Source organism: Homo sapiens, chromosome 13 (genome assembly GCF_000001405.40).
Source record: "Homo sapiens chromosome 13, GRCh38.p14 Primary Assembly".
Lineage (NCBI taxonomy): Eukaryota > Metazoa > Chordata > Mammalia > Primates > Hominidae > Homo > Homo sapiens.
This window is the reverse complement of record NC_000013.11, coordinates 21,476,307-21,498,410: the sequence shown is the minus strand read 5'-3', so window position 1 is coordinate 21,498,410 and position 22,104 is coordinate 21,476,307. Positions and strand designations below refer to the sequence as shown.

The 22,104-nt window shown below is 41.3% G+C and overlaps 1 protein-coding gene and 1 pseudogene across 5 annotated transcripts in view, besides 1 other annotated feature; both read left to right on the top strand.

Annotated features, from left to right (window-relative positions):
- MICU2 (mitochondrial calcium uptake 2) overlaps positions 1–5,720 on the top strand; it is a 111,480-nt gene extending 105,760 nt beyond the window's left edge. For 3 of the 5 annotated variants that reach the window (NM_152726.3, XM_047430142.1, XM_017020433.2), the window contains 3 exons: positions 2,251–2,359; positions 3,093–3,250; positions 5,058–5,720. In NM_152726.3, the coding sequence (NP_689939.1) occupies positions 2,251–2,359; positions 3,093–3,250; positions 5,058–5,162 (372 nt within the window). In that variant the 3' untranslated portion in view covers positions 5,163–5,720. Of the gene's footprint in view, positions 1–2,250; positions 2,360–2,568; positions 3,020–3,092; positions 3,322–5,057 lie in introns of those variants that run through there. The other 2 variants (XM_047430141.1, XM_047430143.1) reach the window with 2 other exon arrangements.
- On the top strand, positions 14,237–14,577 carry H2BP6 (H2B histone pseudogene 6; annotated as a pseudogene).
- Positions 21,054–21,103: a silencer, noted in NCBI's record as "silent region_5162". NCBI's record gives its function as "represses an Ori minimal core promoter by ATAC-STARR-seq in GM12878 lymphoblastoid cells {active_cell/tissue: GM12878}" and the evidence as "EXISTENCE:reporter gene assay evidence [ECO:0000049][PMID:35858748]".

The window sequence follows — 22,104 nt, the reverse complement described above, 5'->3', positions numbered from 1 at the left end:
CGAGACTGTCTCAAAAAAAAAAAAAAAAAAAAAAAAAAAAAGAATAGGATATTTCTGGATGGAGACACAAGGAATTGGTAACTCATGTCTGGGGAATGGAACTGGGAATCAGAGTGGAAGAACTCTTCATCATTTATCCTTCATGTTGTTTGAATTTTTAACCATGTGCACATATTACTTTTTCAAAAACTTTATTGAAATATTTAAAAATAAAAATTTCATGAAGTCACAAAAGCTGGAAACCAGTGAACCTTGAGTAAGACCACACATTACAGAGGGCATGATCCTCAGCATCCTACAAAGAGAAACTTTTTTTTTCAGGCAGGGAAGAATTTACTTTCAAATTAAGAATTTTTAGCTGGACACAATGGCTGACACTTGTAATCCCTGCACTTTCTGAGGCTAAGGTGGGAGGATCACTTGAGCCCAGGAGTTTGAAACCAGCCTGAGAAACATAGCGAGATCTCGTCTCTACTAAAAACAGAAATAAAAACATTAGTTGGGTGTGGTGCTCTGTGTCTGTAGTCCCAGCTACTTGGGAGACTGAGGCAGGAGGATAGCTTGAACCCAGAATTTCAAGGCTGCAGTGAGCTGTGATCTGGACTCCAGCCTGGGTCACAGAGTGAAACACTATCTCAAAAACAAGATAAAAACTAAGAGAATTTTCATACTTTGTTTACTTTTGTTTTGTTTGTTTGTTTTTGAGACAGGGTCTTGCTCTGTTGCCCAGGCTGAAGTGCAGTGGTGCAGTTAGCTCACTATAACCTCAAACTCCTGTGCTCAAGGGATCCTTCTGCCTAAGCCTCCTCAGTCGCTGGGACCACAGGCACATGCCACCGTGCCTGGCTAATTTTTGTATTTTTTGTAGAGATGGGGGTTTCACCATGTTGCCCAGTCTGGTCTCCAACTCCTGAGCTCAGGCAGTCCGGCCACCTCAGCCTTCCAAAGTGCTGTGATTGCAGTCAGGAACCACCGTACCCAGCTTTTATTGTTTTAATGGAAAAAACTGAGTTTTCTTTTAACTTTTTTATTTATTTGTTTGTTTTTACACAGAGTCTCACTCCATCACCCAGGCTGGAGTGCAGTGGCGCGATCTTGGCTCACTGTAGCCTCCGCCTCACGGGTTTAAACAATTCTCCTGCCTCAGCCTTCCAAATAGCTGGGACTACAGGTGTGCACCACCACACCCAGCTAATTTTTTTTTTTTTTTCTTTTTCACCATGTTGACCAGACTGGTCTTGAACTGCTGACCTCAGGTGATCTGCCTGCCTTGGCCTCCCAAAGTGCTAGGATTAGACATGAGCCACAGCACCCAGCCCGTTTGTTTGTTTGTTTGTTATGTATTTTTTGAGACAGAGTCTCGCTCTGTCGCCCAGGCTGGAGTGCTGTGGCGTGATCTCGGCTCACTGCAAGCTCTGCCTCCTGGGTTCACACCATTCTCCTGCCTCAGCCTCCCAAGTAGCTGGGACTACAGGCGCCTGCCACCACGCCCGGCTAATTTTTTTGTTTTTGTGTTTTTAGTAGAGAAGGGATTTCATGGTGTTAGCTAGGATGGTCTCCATCTTCCGACCTCGTGATCCGCCCGCCTCCGCCTCCCAAAGTGCTGGGATTACAGGCGTCAGTCACCGCGCCCGCACCATTTGTTTTATTTGTAAGTGCTCAGATTTTGAAGTCAGATGGACCAAGGTTCAGATCCTGATTGTTCCAGTTAGTAGACTTTGGGCAAACTACATAACCCCTGAAGCGTTACTTACCTAAGACTTAGAGAGGCTAAGGTCATACACGTTATAAAGGGCAGAACCGGAATTTCAGCATTAAAAGTCCATCTAACTCCAAAACTCTGTGCTCTTACTCAGTGCTATGTCCACTAATAAAACTTAGCAGAAGTGGACCACTTAACAGAGTATGTTAGTCTCTTCAAGCTGCCGCCTCAAAACACCACAGGCTGGGCAGCTTAAACAATAAATTTATTTCTCACAGTTCTGGAGGCCAGGAGTCCAAGATCAAGGCACCAGCAGGGCCAGTTTCTGGTGAGGCCTCTTGCCCAGCCTGCACACAGCACCTTCTCACTGTGCCCTTTGTGTGGCCATTTCTGTGTGCACACAGAGAGAAAGGGACAGAGAAAGCTCTGTTGTCTCTTCCTCTTAGAATGATACTAGTCTCTACGGTAGAAAAGAAAGTTCATAGTTAACATTTATAAGATTATTTAATGTACTTACAAAATTGTAATAAAAACTCTTACTTTATTAGAGCATTAGTTTGGATGAATTCAAGTCATTTTGCCATTTTACAACCCACTTGGAAGACTTTGCTATTGCCATGCAGATGTTCAGTTTAGCTCATCGTCCTGTCAGACTAGGTAAGTTATATGAAAAACCATTTAATTTTTATCATCTATAAACAGTTTTACTATATTCTTCAACTAAATGCTACCAATCAAGGAACAAATTATAAGTAAAAATAGTTGATTGACCTTTTAATTCAGTGTGGTTATTCTAGATTTAGAATACCAGTACTCCAGTTTAATGGTTACTTTCTATACTTTTATTTTCTCATTCTCCTAAAAAGAAGGAAGAAGGCCGGGCATGGTGGCTCATGCCTGTAATCCCAGCACTTTGGGAGTCCAAGGTGGGCGGATCACAAAGTCAGGAGTTCAAGACCAGCCTGGCCAACATGGTGAAACCCCATCTCTACTAAAAATACAAAAACTAGCTGGGCGTGGTGGCAGGCGCCTGTAATCCCAGCTATTCAGGAGGCCGAGGCAAGAGAATCGCTTGAACCCGGGAGACGGAGGTTGTAGTGAGTCAAGATCGTGCCATTGCACTCCAGCCTGGGCGACGAGCAAGATTCATCTCAAATATATGTTTAGAGCATTGATTAAATTACAATAGCTCATTTGTCTTGCAGTGACTCTCATGACATTCGTCGGCTTATGGTTTGAATATTTTCTTCATGGGTATTTTTGTTTTTGTTTTACTTCCCAAATAATAAAAATTTGGATTTGCTTTTACTTCTCAAATAATGAAAATTTAGATTAATTTCACTTAGACTATTTCACATAGTTGATAAGTTGTTTTATGTTTGTTTTTTAGCGGAGTTTAAGAGAGCTGTGAAAGTAGCAACAGGACAAGAACTCTCAAACAATATTTTGGACACTGTCTTTAAGATCTTTGATTTGGATGGTGATGAATGTCTTAGTCATGAAGAGTTTCTTGGGGTGTTAAAAAACAGAATGCATCGAGGTTTATGGGTAACAGATTTTTTTTATATAATACATGTTTACATTGTCATTAACTGATATTAAACCTAGAATTTGGGCAATTGTACAGTCTTTAAATGGAGTTTTCATCACTTATAAAAAGACTATAAGCTGTAATTGAAATACAGAAATATATTTTATATATGAGATTAAACATCTTTGCTTTTTAAAAAATAATGTGAATCTAATAAGAAATCACTATTTAAAGTGACTGTGAGCTACGATCGCACCACTGCACTCTAGACTGTGCAACAGAGCAAGCCCTTGTCTCCAAAAAAAAATAATTTTTTAAAAAAGAAATTACTATTCAGAAATGTAGCCTAGCTGGACATGGTGGCTCACATCTGTAATCCCAGCACATTGTGGGAGGCCGAGCCGGGTGGATCACTTGAGGCCAGGAGTTTGAGACCAGCGTGGATAACATCATGAGACTCTGTTTCTACAAAAAAAGGGAAAAAAAATCATAGCCTAGGATTTGACTAACTACATGTAATTAGATATATGTAAATTCAAATCCCACCTCTACTGTTTATTAACTGCTTAATCTTGCAAAGCCACTTAATTTTTTTTAGTCTCAGATTCTTGACCCATACCATGAGGAAACTAATCTACCAGAAAGCATTATTGTTAGAATTTGATGTAAAATACTTAGTATAGTGGCTGAGATTATGAAGTAAATTTCACTATTAGCATTATTCACTCAAAGTCACATATGAGTCTATACTTGTGGGACAAATCAAATTCAGATTTTTGTTCAGATTAGAATGTGCTAGAAGCACTCTCAGAAAAGAAGTCTGCCAGGGGAAGACTAGGGTCCAAAGAGAATCTACATGGTTGGTAGGTAGGCAAGAAAAAAGGAAGGAGAGAGAGAGAGAATATGGTACTATTCATGAAAATAAAGCTATTTACAACTTAGAAAAGCAATTCCATTTCCTGCAACAAACATAACTTAGGGAAAAATAAATATTATTTTCATTAGCAAACATATTAATATTTTATAAACTTTGCAGTTATCCAACACCCATAAATATATTCCGGGAAATTAAGCCAGTCTTTTCAGTTCACAATTGAGTGTACCTGGGAGTCTCCTTGCCCTTTCTCAGAAGACATTAAAAAGAAAAGCTGTAAATCAGTCATAAGAAAAAGAACATATATAATCTGGAGTAGAATTTTGCTTCCACTTGGCTAATTTTCATCAGTGCTATGCTCCTGTGGTCCCCCGGATCCAAATATTTCCTAACCTTTACCTTTTCATTTTGTTGAGAGTAGTAGTAATCCACATGTATTTTTAGCTAACAAAACACGTCCATGAATTAGATTATTTCTTGAAGCTTTTCATCAAATACTTTGTGGCCTTTTTTTTTTTTAATTTTAGCCAATGTTAAATCAAAGCTTTAGGCTTATAATTGTATTCTACATAGCTAAACAAAGTTCACCAGAAAAAAAGGGAAAGATTATAAAACATTATAAAAGGAAAACATTATAAAGTAATTAAATTTTAAAGCCAGTATGTGAAAGAAGAGATGGCCCAAAGTCTTCATTACCCTCTTAGAGAAGAAACTCCATTAATGTGTGCTCAGTCTGGTTCCACTCCCTAGTAACCTTAAGCATAGTTACATTCACTTTTTGTCTTTTACCCCCATTTTCAGTTCTGTTGTGATCATCTTTTACAACATAATTCACCCTCAACTATTTTTGGAGGAGTGTGGGAAGGAAATAAACAGTAACGTAAAGTATATATGAAATCATGTTTAACCTTGAAGACAATGACCCCTTGATTTTTACTTTCGGTTAACAGGTACCACAACATCAGAGTATACAAGAATACTGGAAGTGTGTGAAGAAAGAAAGCATTAAAGGAGTAAAAGAAGTCTGGAAACAAGCTGGAAAAGGTCTTTTTTAATAAAAGATATAATAGTATGGCAATTATATTGTTCCAAATGTCAAAATTTGTGATTTTTTAGAAGTACTTGCTATTTATCTTCTTAAGTCTTCATTGATATTCTGTGTGAAATAAGCATGTCTTGTACTTGCTTTCTGATTCATAATTTTATTAAAGAACTTAGTAGAAAGAAAAGTAAGTATAAAAATAGATATTGGATTCTGTCAGAAGGCCTAGATTTGAAATAATGTTTTGTACTTCGGTAAGATGGAAAACTTAGTGATTCACTGATTTCTTAGACACTCTAATATGATATGCTTTCTGGAAGGATAAAACAAATACATATGGGAAAAAGTACTTGAGACCAAGGCCAGCATCAATTCCAGACATCTTCATGTTCCTAATAGGCTAAATGAAGTTAAAAACTTATTTCAGATTTTTCTCATCTGTACCTTATATCTCATAAATTTATTGCATATTTTATGTCAGTAGCTTAGCTGTTTATTGTCTTTAAAATAACATGTAAACTTCAATGTTCTATCTGGAAGCAGAATAAAATATTTACATAGATACAAAAAATACTGAGGTGCTTTTTATTTTACATGTGTTTTTAAAACTACTTTAAAAAAAATTGTAAATACTCTCATCCCTTGCCAGCCTCATTAGTTCTTAAAACCTGGTGTAGCTGGGAGAAATTTTGACCCCAAGGTCAGGGGCTCATGGGATATATTAGGTTGTGGGAAACAAATGTTGCCAGAAGGTAATTGGCATTAAACTGAATATCAAATGGCATTTTTTAAAACCTGGTAAATAAAAATTATAAAAAACTTGTGTCTCAGACACACAATTTAGAAAATTGCAAATATATAAAACCAGTTCCATTCTCTAGAGAACTGGCTGATCCCAAGGCCGTGACAGGGAAAGTCCAAGATAAGCCTAGAATATATTGTGCCTAAAAGTAAAGAAGGGCTCACAAAATGGTGAAGAGTCAGAAGGACAAAGCCAGCTTGAAGGGGCTGCCCCTGTCAAATCTGGTTCAGTTTGAGGGTCAGAATAATTAATGTCCGTAATAGATTATAGCCTATTGAATGAAATAAGAATTCATGAGTTTACACCAAAAATTAATGAGGCCAGAGAAACCTCTCCCTTATTGTTGAAGGATAATGCCTTGAAATATGTTAATCCACTAAATTGAAAAACTCTCCCTCACAGTTTAATGATTGAAATCGACAAGAGGCAAAAGCTTTTGTCCATTTATTACAAAAAATATTTTGCTCCTGATTCAAAAACAAATTTGCTCTAATGAATTGTTTTATAAATAATTGCTTATAAAATAATTTTTTCTCTCTCTTATAAAACCAAAAGATAGGCAATGCAAGAAAGTATAAGTATGAATGAATGAATCCTCCACCATTTTCTCTGTCAACCACAAAAATGCTGACTCCTCACCTGTCTTTCCAGATGCCCTTATGGGTCAAGATTAGGGGCACAAAAATCCAAAAATTAAGATGGTTTCTCATGCCTTCACAGGCTTCACTTTTTCAGCCTCACCTGGCACTGATTTGTCTGCCCCACTTTCCACAGCATTCCATGAATACTGTTTTGTGCTCCAGCGACATAAAGCTCCTGGCCTTTCCTCATGTACACCATGTGCGTTTCACATACCCCTACCCCTAAGCTTGTTACACATGCCATTTCCTTCTGACAGCGATGCCTTTCCCTCGCTATCTTTTTTTTTTTTTTTTTTTTTTTTTGAGACGGAGTCTCACTCTGTTGCCCAGGCTGGAGTGCAGTGGCACGATCTCGGCTCACTGCAAGCTCTGCCTCCTGGGTTCATGCCATTCTCCTGCCTCAGCCTCCTGAGTAGCTGGGACTACAGGCACCCGCCACCACGCCCGACTCATTTTTTTGTATTTTTTAGTAGAGACGGGGTTTCACCATGTTGGCCAGGATGATCTTGATCTCCTGACCTCATGGTCCACCTGCCTCGGCCTCCCAAAGTGCTGGGATTACAGGCGTGAGCCAACGCACCCGGCCCCCTTGCTATCTTCTTGGTGAAATTCTAGACATCAAGGTGCTACCCACATACCAAGTTTGTATCTACCAAAGTATTAAGAGCAGGAGCACTGCCTTAGTCATCTTTATATACCAGTCTAAGCTGAATCCCTGGCTTACAGTAGGCATCCAACAAATATTTGTTGAACAGAAGGAAAGAAGAGAGGGAGGGAGGGAGGAAAGGAGGAGATTTGGGATGGGAGGAGCTAGTAAAGTTCATGAGTTAATCAAGAAGTATGCCAAAAACCTGCTAGGCCCCAAGCATACAGTGGTGAAATAAATGGTTCCTGCTGTCATGGAACTTGCAGAAGGTGAAGACTGAAAACTAACCAGGAAACATTTTAAGTATATATATACAATTAAAAACTAAGATTTAAAAAAAAAAAAGTGATGTTAGAGATCAGAAGACTTTCTTACAACAAGAGTATTTAGAGGGTTGAGGATAGTTTTCCATTTTTCAAGGCTAAAAGGAAATTACTATAACTGAAAAGATTTCTGAAAACGAATAATGTTTGTCATGTCATTACTACAAAAGTACTTGATCCCATTTGAAAAAAATAGGGATAAATATATATCAAATAAGCAAACTAGATTTGCCAATATCTCCTAGGAGTACGGAGACATTTACCTTGAAAGCAGCTGGACTTCCTAAAAATCTAAACTGCATGAATCTTCAGTCATTTGTTTCTTTACTATCATTTTGTTAAATAAATGATCACTAGGTCTGATATTCTGGTAGATAGCTTGTATTTCTCTGCTTATCCCTTCAAGGTGGGAGACAGTTGCAGGGGGTATCTGAGCCCTGCCTTCACGGATCTTCTCCTCCTTGCCCATCCCCTCAGGAATCTCATCACCCCTCTGGCTTCTGTTCTCTCCTCACCTTCAGGCCCAGTTGCTTTCTAGATTTCTCCATTTGGTTTGTCCAACTCAAGCACATCCAAAACTGACCTGATTATGTCCCCCTCTTTTTCCAAACCTCATTTCTTCACATGTCTTCTGCCTTAGTGAACGGGTCTCCTACAAGAAACCAACTAGGAACCAGACAGTCATCCCGGATCCTCACTCCCTTACTCCTCTATAGTCAATCATGTCCTGTGAATTCTGCTTCCTCAAAATCGCCAGACATGTGCTCCACCTTACAACACTGTTGCCACTGCCTTAGTGCAAGCCCTGATCATTCATTACTTAGATGATCTCCGTGGAATCCTAACTTGCCCTTTGTCCGGCCCCTTGTAAGGCACAGCAATTAAGCATCCAAACTCTGCTGTTAGACTACCTGGATTCAAATCTCAGCTTCACCACATTAGTTATATAACTCACCACATAACCGTTTGGCAAAGTACTTGAGCTCTCTGTGCCCATTTTTAATCTAAAAAGGAATGATTTTAGTTGTGATGTCATAGCCTTTTTGTAAGGATTGAGATGATGTATGAAATGCACTGGAGTAAACCTTTAGCAGCTTTTAAATATTAATGCTGTTAACTTCTTATTTCAGATCCTCCTTCACAACAGACTTATTTTCTGAAACATAAATCTGATCATGTCACTACGCTTCTGATAATCTTACGACACTAAAATCGCTTAAAAAATAAAATTCAACTCTACATGATCTTGCCCCATCTATCTTTCTCATATCCTAACACTTGCCACCACACACTTTACACTACAACAATACTGAATTACTTCTCATCACCCCGCTTGGCCATGTTCTCACTCTCCAAGTGTTTGCACTTACTAGTGCTTCTGTTGAAGATGCTCCCACCTGCCTAACTTCCAGTGCCATTTCATCTGCAAAGTTTTCCATTTTTCTCCCTGCTTTTCCCTCAAATTCATTTAGGGATACATGCTGTTAGTTCCCTCACACGTTTCTGTCCACATATCTTTCAAGCCTCATTAAAGTATACTGGAATTCTTTTATGTATTTGCCTCTTCCCCTTGGCTATGAGCTCATTGATAGCAACAACATGACTCCTTTAACGCTATCTCCCAGCATCCATCAAAGAGCTAGCACATACTCGCTCAAAAAAATGTTTGACCTATGAATTAGTTAACAAAAAGGAAAGTGGAACAAGAAATAACCCTGGGCCAGGCACGGTGGCTCATGCCCACCGCTAATCCCAGCACTTTGGGAGGCTGAGGCAGGCGGATCACCTGAGGTCAGGAGTTCAAGACCAGCCTGGCCAATATGGCAAAACCCCAACTCTACTAAAAATACAAAAATTTAGCGAGGCATCCTGGCACGCACCTGTAGTCCAAGTTACTCGGAAGGCTGAGACAGGAGAATCACTTGAACCTGGGAGGCAGAGGTTACAGTGGGCCGAGATTGTGCCACTACATTCCAGCCTGAGTGACAGAGGGAGATTCTGTCTCAAAAAAAAAAAAAAAAAAAAAAATCCCCATATGTGCTTTAGCTGTTCTCACATACCAGCTTTTCTGTTACAGGACTGGACAGGAGAGAGTAGATGGCTTAAGGGAGCTTTAAGACAGCTCTGGTTTGGCCTCTGCTTTGGACACAGATAGCAAATATCAAGAGAGACTGGCCAGGGGTTCTGATACGGTTAGAAAGCAGAACAGGTTCTGGGAATGGAAACAAATTGAAATGTCCTCCCAAAGTTTGGAAACAAGGTTACCCTCCAGGTGTTAAATCATAAAAATCAAAGCATAATGTAGAGGCCAGGCATGGTGGCTCATGCCTGTAATCCGAGCACTTTGGGAGGCCGAGGCGGGAGGATCACTTGAAGTCAGGAATTCAAGACCAGCCTGGCTAACATGGTGAAACCCCGCCTCTACTAAAAACATGAGATTAGCCAGGTGTGATGGCAGGCACCTGTAATTCCAGTGACTCAGGAGGCCAAGGCAGGAGAATCGCTTGAAATCAGGAGGCAGAGGTTGCAGTGAGCCAAGATTGCACTCCAGCCTGAGCAACAAAGTGAAACTCTGTCTCAAAAAAAAGGCATAATGTAGGGAATGATGTCAGGGAAGATAGCAGAGCAGGAGGCTCCAGGAATCTGTCCCTTCACCTAAACAACTATTGAACTGGCAGGAATTGTCTTATTTTGGAACATTTCTGACATTTGAGGGAGAGTTTGATGAAGTTGCTAGTAAATTTTGGTGAACTTCAGCCTTTTGTGATGTAGCAGCAACAGCAAAAAGCCTGCCACCCAGCATCAGGAAACTGTCAGGGAAGCAGCCCACATTCCTGGGGCAGCTTCCTGGAACCAGTGTGAGCACAAAAGACCTTATCCTCCAGGAGTGGGGGTCATGTGTTCTGCTAGCTGCTTGCTGATTTTGATAAAGTGATGAGGGGCCAGGCTGGAGGCCAACCATTTTTTAATGCCCACTTCACAAGCTGAAGCAGCTTCCCAGCCACAAGAGATTTAAAGAGACAGGATATCTTCCCTCCTTCTTGAAAGTCAGACATTTAAGGACATTTTTGTCAGGTTACTGGCTAACTGTAGAGATAACAGAAAAGAAACCTCAGTAGCCACACACAACAAGGAAGATACATTGTTTGGAAAAGGCACAAATAGGAATGGGTCCAGCCCACAACAAGCAAAAACAAGCAATCCCTAAGGAGTAGAATTAGATTCCAGAGTTACTACAACATAATGCTCAGAATAACCAGTTCTCAACAAAAAATTATAAAACATGTAAAGCAACAGGAAAGTATGATCCATTCACAGGATATAAAGAATTTCACAGAAACCATACCTAAAGAAGACCAGACTTTGGAATTATTAGTCAAAGATGTTAAATCAATTGTTTTAAATATGTTCAATATGTTTTCTAAAGGAAACCATGAATAAACACTAATAGAAATCAAGAAAACAATGTCTGAACAAAATGAAAGTATAAATAGAAATTATAAAAAGGAGCCAAACAAAATCTGCAATAACTAAAATGAAAAATGCAATAGAGGGATTCAACAGCAAGTTTGAACAAGGAAAAGAGAGGACTGGCAAAATTGAAGATAAGACATTGAAAATTACCCAGTCTAGGGAAAAGAAAGAAAGAGTGAAGAAAAATGAAGACAGCCTGAGGAACCTATGGGACCTCATCAAGCATACCAAATACACATTATAGGAATCCCAGAAGGAGAAGACATAGAGAAAGGAGCAGCAAAAAATTTGAAGAAATAATAGCTGACAACTTCCCAAATCTGATTAAAAACATGAATATATACATCTAAGAAGCTCAATGAACTCCAAGCAGGAAAACTTTGAAGAGATACACACTGAGACATATAGTCAAATTATCAACTCCCATAGACAAAAAGATAATTTTGAAAGCATCAGGTAGAAGTGACTCATGCGGCCAGGTGCGGTGGCTCATGCCTGTAATCCCAGCACTTTGGGAGGCTGAGGTGGGCGGATCATGAGGTCAGGAGATTGAGACCATCCTGGCTAACACGGTGAAACCCCATCTCTACTGAAAATACAAAAAATTAGCTGGGCGTGGTGGCGGTCACCTGTAGTCCCAGCTACTCAGGAGGCTGAGGCAGGAGAATGGCCAGAACCTGGAGGCAGAGCTTGCAGTGAGCCAAGATCACACCACTGCAGTCCAGCCTGGGCGACAGAGCAAGACTCCGTGGAAAAAAAAAAAAAAAAAAAAAAGTGACTCATGCATGTACAAGAGACCTTCATTAAGAATGACAGTTTATCTTCCACTAGAAACCATGGAGGCCAAAAGGCACTGGATGACATATTTAAAGTCTTGAAAGAAAAAGACTGTCAACCGAGAACTCTATATACAGCAAAACTATCATTCAAGAATGAAGGAGAAATTAAGATATATCCAGATTTAAAAGACTGAGTCTTATTACCAGTACTGCCCTACAAGAAATGCTAAACGGAGTGCTTCAGACTGAAATGAAAAGACAATAGACAGTAATTCAAAGACAGAAGAAAAAAAAATACTACTAAAGGTAACTTCATAAGTATATATAAAAGCCACTGGGCCACAAATATGTGGAAATTAACAACCCACTCAAACAACCAATGCCTCAAAGAAAAGGGAAATGAGAACATACGTTGAGACAAATAAAAATGAAAACACAACAGCAAAACTATGAGATGCAGTGAAAGCAGTGCTAAAGAGGGAAATTTTTTTTTTTGGGGGGGATGAAGTCTTGCTCTTGTCCCCCAGGCTGGAGTGTAATGGCACGATATCGGCTCACTGCAACCTCTGCCTCCCGGGTTCAAGCAATTCTCCTGCCTCAGCCTCCTAAGTAGCTGGGATTACAGGCGCCTGCCACCATCCTGGCTAATTTTTGTATTATTAGTAGAGATAGGGTTTCACCATGTTGGCCAGGCTGGTCTCAAACTCCTGACCTCAGGTGATCCGCCCACCTTGGCCTCAAGTGCTGGGATTACAGGCATGAGCCATCGCGTCCAGCCTTAAGACAGAAATTAATAGCTATAAATGTTTACATTTAAAAAGAACAATAATCTCAAATCAACAACTTTACACCTTAAGGAACCAGAAAAAGAACAAATGAAATTCAAAGATGGAAGGAAATAAAGAAAACCTAAACTGTGATTTAATGTATTGACAGAGGCTCCTTACGGACAAGTTTGAGAGTTAAAAACTCCAGGCTGGGTGTGGTGGCTCACGCCTGTAATCCCAGAACTTTGGGAGGCCAAGGTGGATGGATCACCTGAGGTGGGGAGTTCGAGACCAGCCTGACCAACATGGAGAAACCCCGTCTCTACTAAAAGTACAAAATTAGCCGAGCATGGTGGCACATGCCTATAATTCCAGCTACATGGGAGGCTGAGGCAGGAGAATAGCTTGAACCTGGGAGGTGGAGGTTGCAGTTAGTTGGTTGAGATCATGCCATTGCACTCCAGCCTGCGCAACCAGAGCAACACTCTGTCTCAAAAAAAAAAAAAAAAAAAAAAAAAAACCTCCAGAGGGCCCTGACATGGTGGCTCATGCCTGTAATCCCAGCACTTTGGGAGGCCAAAGCGGGAGGATCACTTGAGGTCAAGAGTTCAAGACCAGCCTGACCAACATGGGGAAACACCCCGTCTCTACTAAAAATACAAAAATTAGCCAGGCGTGATGGGTTATGCCTGTAATCCCAGCTACTCAGGAGGCTGAGGCAGGAAAATCACTTGAACCCGGGAGGTGGAGGTTGCAGTGAGCTGAGATTGCACTACTGCACTCCAGCCTGGGTGACAGAGTGAGTCTCTGTCAAAAAAAAAAGAAAGAAAAGAAAGAAAAGAAAAGAAAGAGAAAGACAAAGAAAGAGAAAGAAAGAAGACAAAGAGAAAGAGACAGACAGAAAGAGAAAGAAAGAAGACAAAGAAAGAGAAAGAGAGAGACAGAGAGACAGAAAGAGAAAGAAAGAAAAGAGAAAATGCTCTTGTATAAAGTACCTGCATACCCTTGAAGTAGTATAGTGTTATTTCAAAGAGGACATGGACCCCCATCTCTACAAAAAATTAAAAATAAAATAAATTAGCCGGGCATAGCGATGCATACCTACAGCCCTAGTTACTCAAGAGGCTGAGGCAGGAGGATCGCTGGAGCCCAGGAGTTTGAGGCTGCAGTGAGCTGTGATTGCACTACTGCACTCTAGCCTGGGTGGCAGAGACCCTGTCCCCCCCCATCCCACCCCACCTCCCCCAAAAAAAAGAAGGAAAGAAAGAAGACATGGGTTAGTTATAAACATATACTGCAAACTCAAGGACAACCACCAAAAAAGTAAATAACTTCTTTAAGTTATGTTCAAAGGCTCCCATAACAATAAAATACAAACCTTCACCAAGGTCTCAAGGTTCTTCCTGCCCCTGCCCCTGACACTCCCAACCTCACCTTCTCTCCTTCCCACTCTTGCTCAACCACTATGGCCATCTTGTTTTCCCTGGAACCCCTCAAGCTCTCTCCTGCCTCAAAGTCATTGCCTTGCTGTTCACCTGGCCTATAATCTTCCAACTCTGGGTCTTTCATAGGACTCACCCCTCTGCATCAGTCAGGTCTCTACTCAGTTATCCTTGTGAAAAAGACCATCAGGGACATACTTCTGGTGTTTGAAGATGCCTGAGCCAGCCAAGTCTGCTCCCTCCCTGAAGAAGGGCTCCAAGAAGGCGGTGACCAAGGCGCAGAAGGTTGGCAAGAAGCGCAAGCGCAGCCGCAAGGAGAGCTACTCTGCTGAAGCAGGTCCACCCCGACACCCGCATCTCTTCCAAGGCCATTCGTTAATGACATCGTTGAGGGCATCGCGGGCGAGTCTTCCGGCCTGGCGCATTACAACAAGCGCTCGATCATCACCTCCAGGGAGATCCAGACGGCTGTGCGCCTGCTGCTGCCCGGGGAGCTGGCCAAGCACGCCGTGTCGGAGGGCACCAAGGCCGTCACCCAGTACACCAGCTCCAAGTAAACTTGCCAAGAGGAGACAACAGCCTTTAGACATATCTTTTCCAACAGTCGTCACTGCTGGACAGTGCTTCATCTTACAAATAAACCAATGAAAAATGAGTGATCCTAGAAGAAGATAAACGGAGGTATTTTAAACAATCAAGGAAGGACCAATATACACCTGGCTAAGAAAAACTAGCCCCTCTTTTTTCTGGGTATAAAACAATTAAAATGTTCTTCATAGAAATTTATGAAATGAGAAACATAAAGACAAAATTAAAATAACTCCTAGTATCTCCTATTCTTTTTATATGTATATCATATATATTCACATTCATATATACATATATCTCACATCATGTATCCCATATATATAAAATAAACTTAGGTGTCATGCTATATATATATTTAGATAACTAAATATGCTTAGAAATAATTTTTAATGGATGCATAATTTATGGATATATTGATAAGTAATTAGTTCTTCATTATGGACTATTTCAATTGATTCCCATTTCTATGCATTATAGATCATACAGCTCACACATCTTTGTACATAAATCTTTGTTCAAATATTATTTCCTAAGGATATTCATGAAGTGGAAATACTAAATCAAAAGTGAAAAACATTATCTAAGATCCTTAAATATGCATTGCCAAAAATTGCTATTCAGGAGCATGCCAATTTATAATCCCAACATAATGTGGAAATTTCTGTTTTATAACACTCATATTTACAATAAATTTTTAAAAGCATTGTTAACGTAATAGGCCCCCAAAAAGAAAAAATTTGAAATTACATTTCCTTATTTAAATTAATGACTCTATTAGTGAGGGTCATTTTCCCATGTTTTTTATTAGCCATGACCCTATAAGAAATAAACTGTGCTGCAAAATGATAAACATGATTTCAATCATTCCATGGGAAGGCACTATATAAAGAATAATACCTTAGGTTAAGTCCAAATAAATAATATTTATTAGGTGCCTCTTCTGCAGAGGATTCTGAAGGGATAATAAACTGCATTTAGCTGCAGGTAACTGAAACTACTTTTACCTACATTGTCTCTTATAAACATTGTAACTACTCTTCGAGAAAGTGTTTACTATGGACTGAATTGTCTCCCCATCCCCCCAAATTCGTATATTGAAGCCCTAAACCCCAATATGACTGTATTTCTAGACAGGACTTGTAAGAGGTAATTAAGGTTAAATGAGGTCATTAGAATGAGTTTCTAATTGGATAGGATTTTTGGCCTTATAAGTAGAGGAAGATTCTGCACTTGGTCCTCCAAATTAAATAATTCATTTAAAAAAAGTGGAAGAGAGAGATCTCTGCACACACACACTGAGGAAAGGCTGTGTGAGCTCACAGTGAGAAGGCAGCACTTACACACAAGAAAACTAAACCTAGGAGAGAGAAAGTTAAACTTATCCAAGGTCGCAAAAGCCAGAAACGAGTGAGGTGAGAAGTTGACCTTGTTCTCCTCAATCCAAGGCCAGGACTCCTCCACTCCACATGTAGATAGCCACCTCACAGTCAACAACCAAATGTCCCCAGAGTCAGCATTAGACCAAGATGTCTCACCAGGAGACAAATGTCTCATCTTGAATAAATATGTTCTAACATATTTATTGTTTACCCATGGAAAATACTGAACCTCAGGAGAAATAAAATGCAAAGTATGTACAAAATTATGTTTACTACCTGACACTGATATAAAGCCTAATGATATCCTTATAGTCTTGGAGGGGTTTGTATATGTGGTGAAACAGGTGCTCACACAGTGCTAATAGACTGTAAATTGGTCTTAGAGAGAAAAATAAATAAACTGGAAGGAGAAAAAAAAAAAAGACCATAACAAACCAATCCCCATTGTACCCCACCCTCTTTCTCTATGTTGTTTTTCTTACTAGAACTTGATCATCAACTTAAAATGTGTATATATACATATATTTGTATATCTGTTTATATCTGCTTATCCTATTAGAATGTAAGTTCCATAAAAGCAGGGATTTTTTTCCTTTTTAGAGACAGGGTCTCACTATGTTGTCCAGGCTAGTCCAGACCTCCTGGGCTCAAGCAATCCTCCTGGCTTAGCTTCCCGAGTAGCTGGGACTACAGCAGGAATTTTTCTTTATTCACCATTGTGTTCTTGAAACTTGAAACAACACCTGTCATAGAGTAGATGTCCAATAAATATTTTTGAATCCCTGAACAAATAAATAAATCACAAAGAGCATTGAGTCAGTCATGCAAGCATAGAAAAGAGGCCACAGAAACAAGCAATGCAGTGGTCATCCAAGAGCTTTCCAAATAAAGGGAGCCCTAGCAACGAAGCATTCTCCTTTCATGACAGATCTATTTCTATTTAAAGATGAGCACGTTAGATTAGCAGAGCCTGTTGCTGTTAATCACGTTATTATGTTAGTACACCTTGTTCTGATTTTACGGTCTCCGAGCAACCTTCTGATAATCTGGTTTCCATATCATCTGCTTACAGGGAAGGAATACTCTTTGGTACTCGAATCTTTCCTGGCCAAGCTGGGACCTTGATACAGGTTTCTCCATATGTAATCATTAGGACTCTTGGACAGAAACAACAGAAAGTCATCTCGAAATGGGTTAGACAAAAGAGGAGTTGATAGGAAAGGTCTACAGGAGTGTCACAGGGTCAAACCTGGGGAGGTCAGGGGAGCAGCTGGGACGTAGGAAAACTCCAACTGAGGACCTGAAGCCCTCGGAACTCTCACCAGGCTTTTCTCTACTTCGATCTGGGTAGCAATTTCATTCTCTTTTACTGCATGTACACCAGAGAAATTCTAACTATGCTCTCCCTAAGAGTCAAAAATCTCTGGGAAAGGGGCTGATTGGCTGCCCTGTCTGAACCAGGTTCTATTCCAGACCAATCCACTGCAGCCAGGAGGGCAGGGTCTATACCAACACGGCAGCTGCCATGTCCCTGCACTGTTGGAGGGCAGCAGGGAAGGAACATATTCTTTCTTTCTTTTTTTTTTTTTTTTTTTTGAGACAGAGTCTCGCTTTGTTGCCCAGGCTGGAGGCTGGAGTGCAGTGGCGCAATCTCGGCTCACAGCAACCTCCGCCTACCGGGTTCACGCCACTCTCCTGCCTCAGCCTCCGGAGTAGCTGGGACTACAGGCGCCCGCCACTACGCCCGGCTAAATGTTTTTTGTATTTTTAGTAGAGACGGCGTTTCACCGCGTTAGCCAGGACGGTCTCGAACTCCTGACCTAGTGATCCACCCGCCTCAGCCTCCCAAAGTGCTGGGATTACAGGCGTGAGCCACCCCGCCCGGCCGGAAGGAACATTTTCTAAAAGATGGGCGTGACTACTCCCAGACGGCAGCAAGGGTGCTGGGCGGACACAGTGGATTGTTACTCTAAGCTGTGCCATTCTGTAGGCTAAGACCAGCTTAGGAGACTCCAGGGGACCGCAGGGCAAATTACACTCAACACTAGAGGATCAGGGTGAAAGTCACAGGAGAATCTTCTTTTTTTTTTTTTTTTAGACAGAGTCTTCCTCAGGCTGGAGTATGCAGTGGCATGATCTTGGCTCACTGCAACCTCTGCCTCCCAGGTTCAAGCGATTCTTGTGCCTCAGCCTACTACCAAGTAGCTGGGACTATAGGCGTGCACCACCACAACCAGCTAATTTTTGTATTTTTAGAAGAGACGGGGTTTTGCCATGTTGGCCAAGTTGGTCTCAAACTCCTGACCTCAAGTGACCCACAAACCTCAGCCTCCCAAAGTGCTGGGTGGGACTACAGACATGAGCCACCACGGCCAACCAGGAGAACTTTCAAATTGGCTGCCTGGCTCCAAGACTTTGACATACTTATCCCTTTATAGCCAATACATTTGACAGCATGCGATAAATTAAGAGCTATGTACACGGTTTTAATTCAATTCATAATATTTTGCTTTTTCTCTCCCTGGGGCATGTTTTACTTTTATTGTGGGCCAAGAGGTAAGACAGTAGGGATTTAAGTAAGCAGAGAGGAGTCGTCTAGACCCTCAGCTGCCAGCCTTTTGAGTCCTGGGTTTTCATTTTCTGATCCCATAAGTGATATTTCTGCCACCCCTCACCTCTGCCCCAGTGATGTATAAGCAAGGGAAGGAGAAGAAAGGAGAAAAAGCAGCGCCCACGTTGCCAGGTTCATGCCTTAAACAGTTCTCTAGATTCCAATGTCTCTGCCAACATCATGCCAAAGAAGATCCAACATCAAGTGCACATGTTGAACAGCTGAACCTAACTCAAGCCAGTTAGGGAGAGAAGTTTCCATGCTCAGAGGAGGCATCCCCTGTGATTTGTTTAACTTCACATTTTCTCACCTCTGCCTTGGAAGTGACAGGTGTTTAATTCTAAATTGTAACAGTTAATGGACTTTTAAAGACATTTTCCTGATATTTTTCTGAGGGAGTACAAGACAGACTTCAAAGTCAGAGTTCCATGCAGATAAGCACACAGATCCGTAGACAGAGGCGGTAGAGGAAAAGTGAGTCACTAAGTTTTCTTTAATGGAAACTGCATATCTTCAAAAGCTGGAGTGCAAACTGACACTAATACCACATCGATGCCATAGAATGAATGAGACAAAATGATGAAATGCAGGGAGAAAACTCGTATTGAGAAAAATTAAAAGAATCCTGCAAATCACTTGTGGCGTTACAGTTGATTTAAAGTGAAAGCATTCAATACAAATGTTCCACAAGGTGGCAGCCTTGCTTTTCCAAAAAATTTTTATCTGCCTTGCATACACCAAGCATTACTTTCCTTTCCTTTCCCTCCCTCCCTCCCTCTGTTCCTTCCTTCCTTTTTCTTTCTTTCTTTCTTTCCTTCTTTTTCTTTCTTTCTTTCCTTCTTTCTTTCTTACTCTCACTCTCTCTTCATTCCTTTCTTTGTCGTCCCTTCCTTTCTCTCTTTTTTTTTTTTTTTGAGACAAAGTCTCACTCTGTCACCCAGGCTGGAGTGCAGTGGCACCATCTAGGTTCGCTGCAACCTCTGCCTCCCAGTTAAAGCGATTCTCCTGACTTAGCCTCCTGAGTAGATGGGATTACAGGCACCTGCCACCACGCCCAGCTAATTTTTGTATTTTTATTAGAGATGGGGTTTCACCATGTTGGCCAGGCTGGTCTTGAACTCCTGACCTCAAGTGATCCTCCCACCTTGGCCTGCCAAAGTGCTAGGATTACAGGCGTGAGCCACCTCACCCGGCCTTTTTTTTTTTTTTTTTTTTTTTTTTGGCAGGGCCTTGCTCCACCCAGGCTGGAGTGAAGTTGAGGGTTCCTCAAACTCCTGGGCCCAAGCGATCCTTCCACCTCATCCTCCCAAGTAGCTGGGATTAGGGGCATGCACCACTACACCCAGCTAATTTTTAAAACTATTCTGTAGAGACGGGGTTCTTGCTATTTTGCCCAGGCTGGTCTCGAACTCCTGGCTTGAATCTATCCTCCCGCTTCGGCCTCCCAAAGTGCTAGGATTACAGGGTGAGACACTGCACCCGGCCCACACATGATCTTTTTTTTTTTTTTTTTTTGAGACAGAGTCTCTCGCTCTGTCACCCAGGCTGGAGTGCAATGGCGCGATCTCAGCTCACTGCAACCTCCACCTCCTGGGTTCAAGAGATTCTCCTGCCTCAGCCTCCCGAGTAGCTGGGATTACAGGCACTAGCCACCACACCCAGCTAATTTTTTGTATTTTTAGTAGAGATGGGGTTTCACCATGTTGGCCAGGATGGTCTTGATCTCCTGACCTCGTGATCCGCCTGCCTTGGCCTCCCAAAGTGCTGGGATTACAGGCGTGAGCCACCATGCCCAGCCCACACATGATCTTTAACAGAAAAACTAACCATATAATAAAGAAGATATACAGAAAATTACAGAATATCTCAGAGATGACTTGCTTAATGAAGGAGAAACATTGTGGGAGGCTTTGAACTGACATGCCTCAGCTAAATATTGACCAACTCAGAGAAATTAGTGCTTTACCACATTTACCATTAGCACTTGCTGTTTGTGTTTGCTTACATTCGGCAAGGAAGGAAATTAATGTTTGGAATCTCTATGCAACATCTTGTTACTAGCCAGGTTATCTCTTCAGTATCATCAATGTCAAATCTTTATTGAAGCCTGCTCTATTCAAAGCATTCTGCTAGGTGCTAGTCTTCTTTCTAGGAGAGTTCTCTTGCCAAGAGGATGAAATGGGAGAAAACAGTGTGCTTATAGTACTTACCACACCTAGACTTATATAATATTTAAACATTCAATAGTGGGTGAAAATATATTAATAACTCCTTTATGCTTTGCAGAATGTCATGCGAGCTCTTCCCCAAAATTTTATGATCCAAAAAGAATTAAAGGAATGTTCACAGTAGCATCATTTCAAATAAAAATTCAGAAACAACATAAATATCTAGCACCATGAAAATGGATAAATTGTGCTCTAATTGTACAATGAAATTCTAGGCAGCTGTTAAAATGGCGAATGAGTAAATTAAGTTACTAAGCTATTGTCTCTCCGTTCCATCCCCTCGCTTGCACACATACTTGGCTTTGTCATGATGGGGCCGGTCCCAGACCCTGCAAAACCCGTTTCCCTTTGCTTGCTGGCGACGTGCTAGGCTCTGCCGATAGGGGGCAGTAGAGGGAGCCTGCAAGCCGGGAGGAGGGAAAGGGGCTCGTTCCTCTCTGTGTCCGGTCAGTGTTATTTGTGTCTGTACTCAGCCTTCATCCTGGCAGCGGTTAGTACCAGTCTCCTGGTTTTTTTTGTGTGTGTGTGTGGTTTTTTTTATGTTTTGTTTTGTTTTTGTTTTGCACTCCCGGAACCAGCCACATTGTGTCCTCTCCCCGCTCCCGCCACCCGCCCAGGCACTGGCACCAGGCGCCTCTTGGGAACGGCAGGCCTTTCTTTCCAGTTTCTGGATTTTAATCCCCCAGCCTCTTCTCTTAGTACCCTGGACCAGGGAGTGGTAGCTGCTTCCAGCATTTACTTTCTTCTTTGCTTCTTCACTCTTCTAGCACCTGTTTAACCAGCTCCTTCTATTAATTTTTTTTCTGTTAAGCTCCCCTTCCCCAGTCCTAAAAAAAAATAATAATAATAATCTATTGAAATACTTAATGTGGACCCTGACTCATACAATGACCATGTGTCAGGAACTGCAGATTTATAACACAGGTAGATAAGGAGGTAGAGGCATAGCAGACATGCATATATACATATTAGAATATTTCCATATACATATGTGTTATATATAAAATGCAGATATATACACATGTAAGTACATATGTATTTCTTACATGAGCTATATTTAGACCTATGTGTACATATATATAAAATTTCCTGCCAGGTGTGGTGGCTCACGCCTGTAACCCCAGCACTTTGGGAGGCCGAGGCAGATGGATCACCTGAGGTCAGGAGTTCGAGACCAGCCTGACTGATATGTTGAAACCCCGTCTCTACTAAAAAAAAACACACAAAAATTAGATGGGCGGCATGGTGGCGGGCACCTGCAGTCCCAGCTACTTG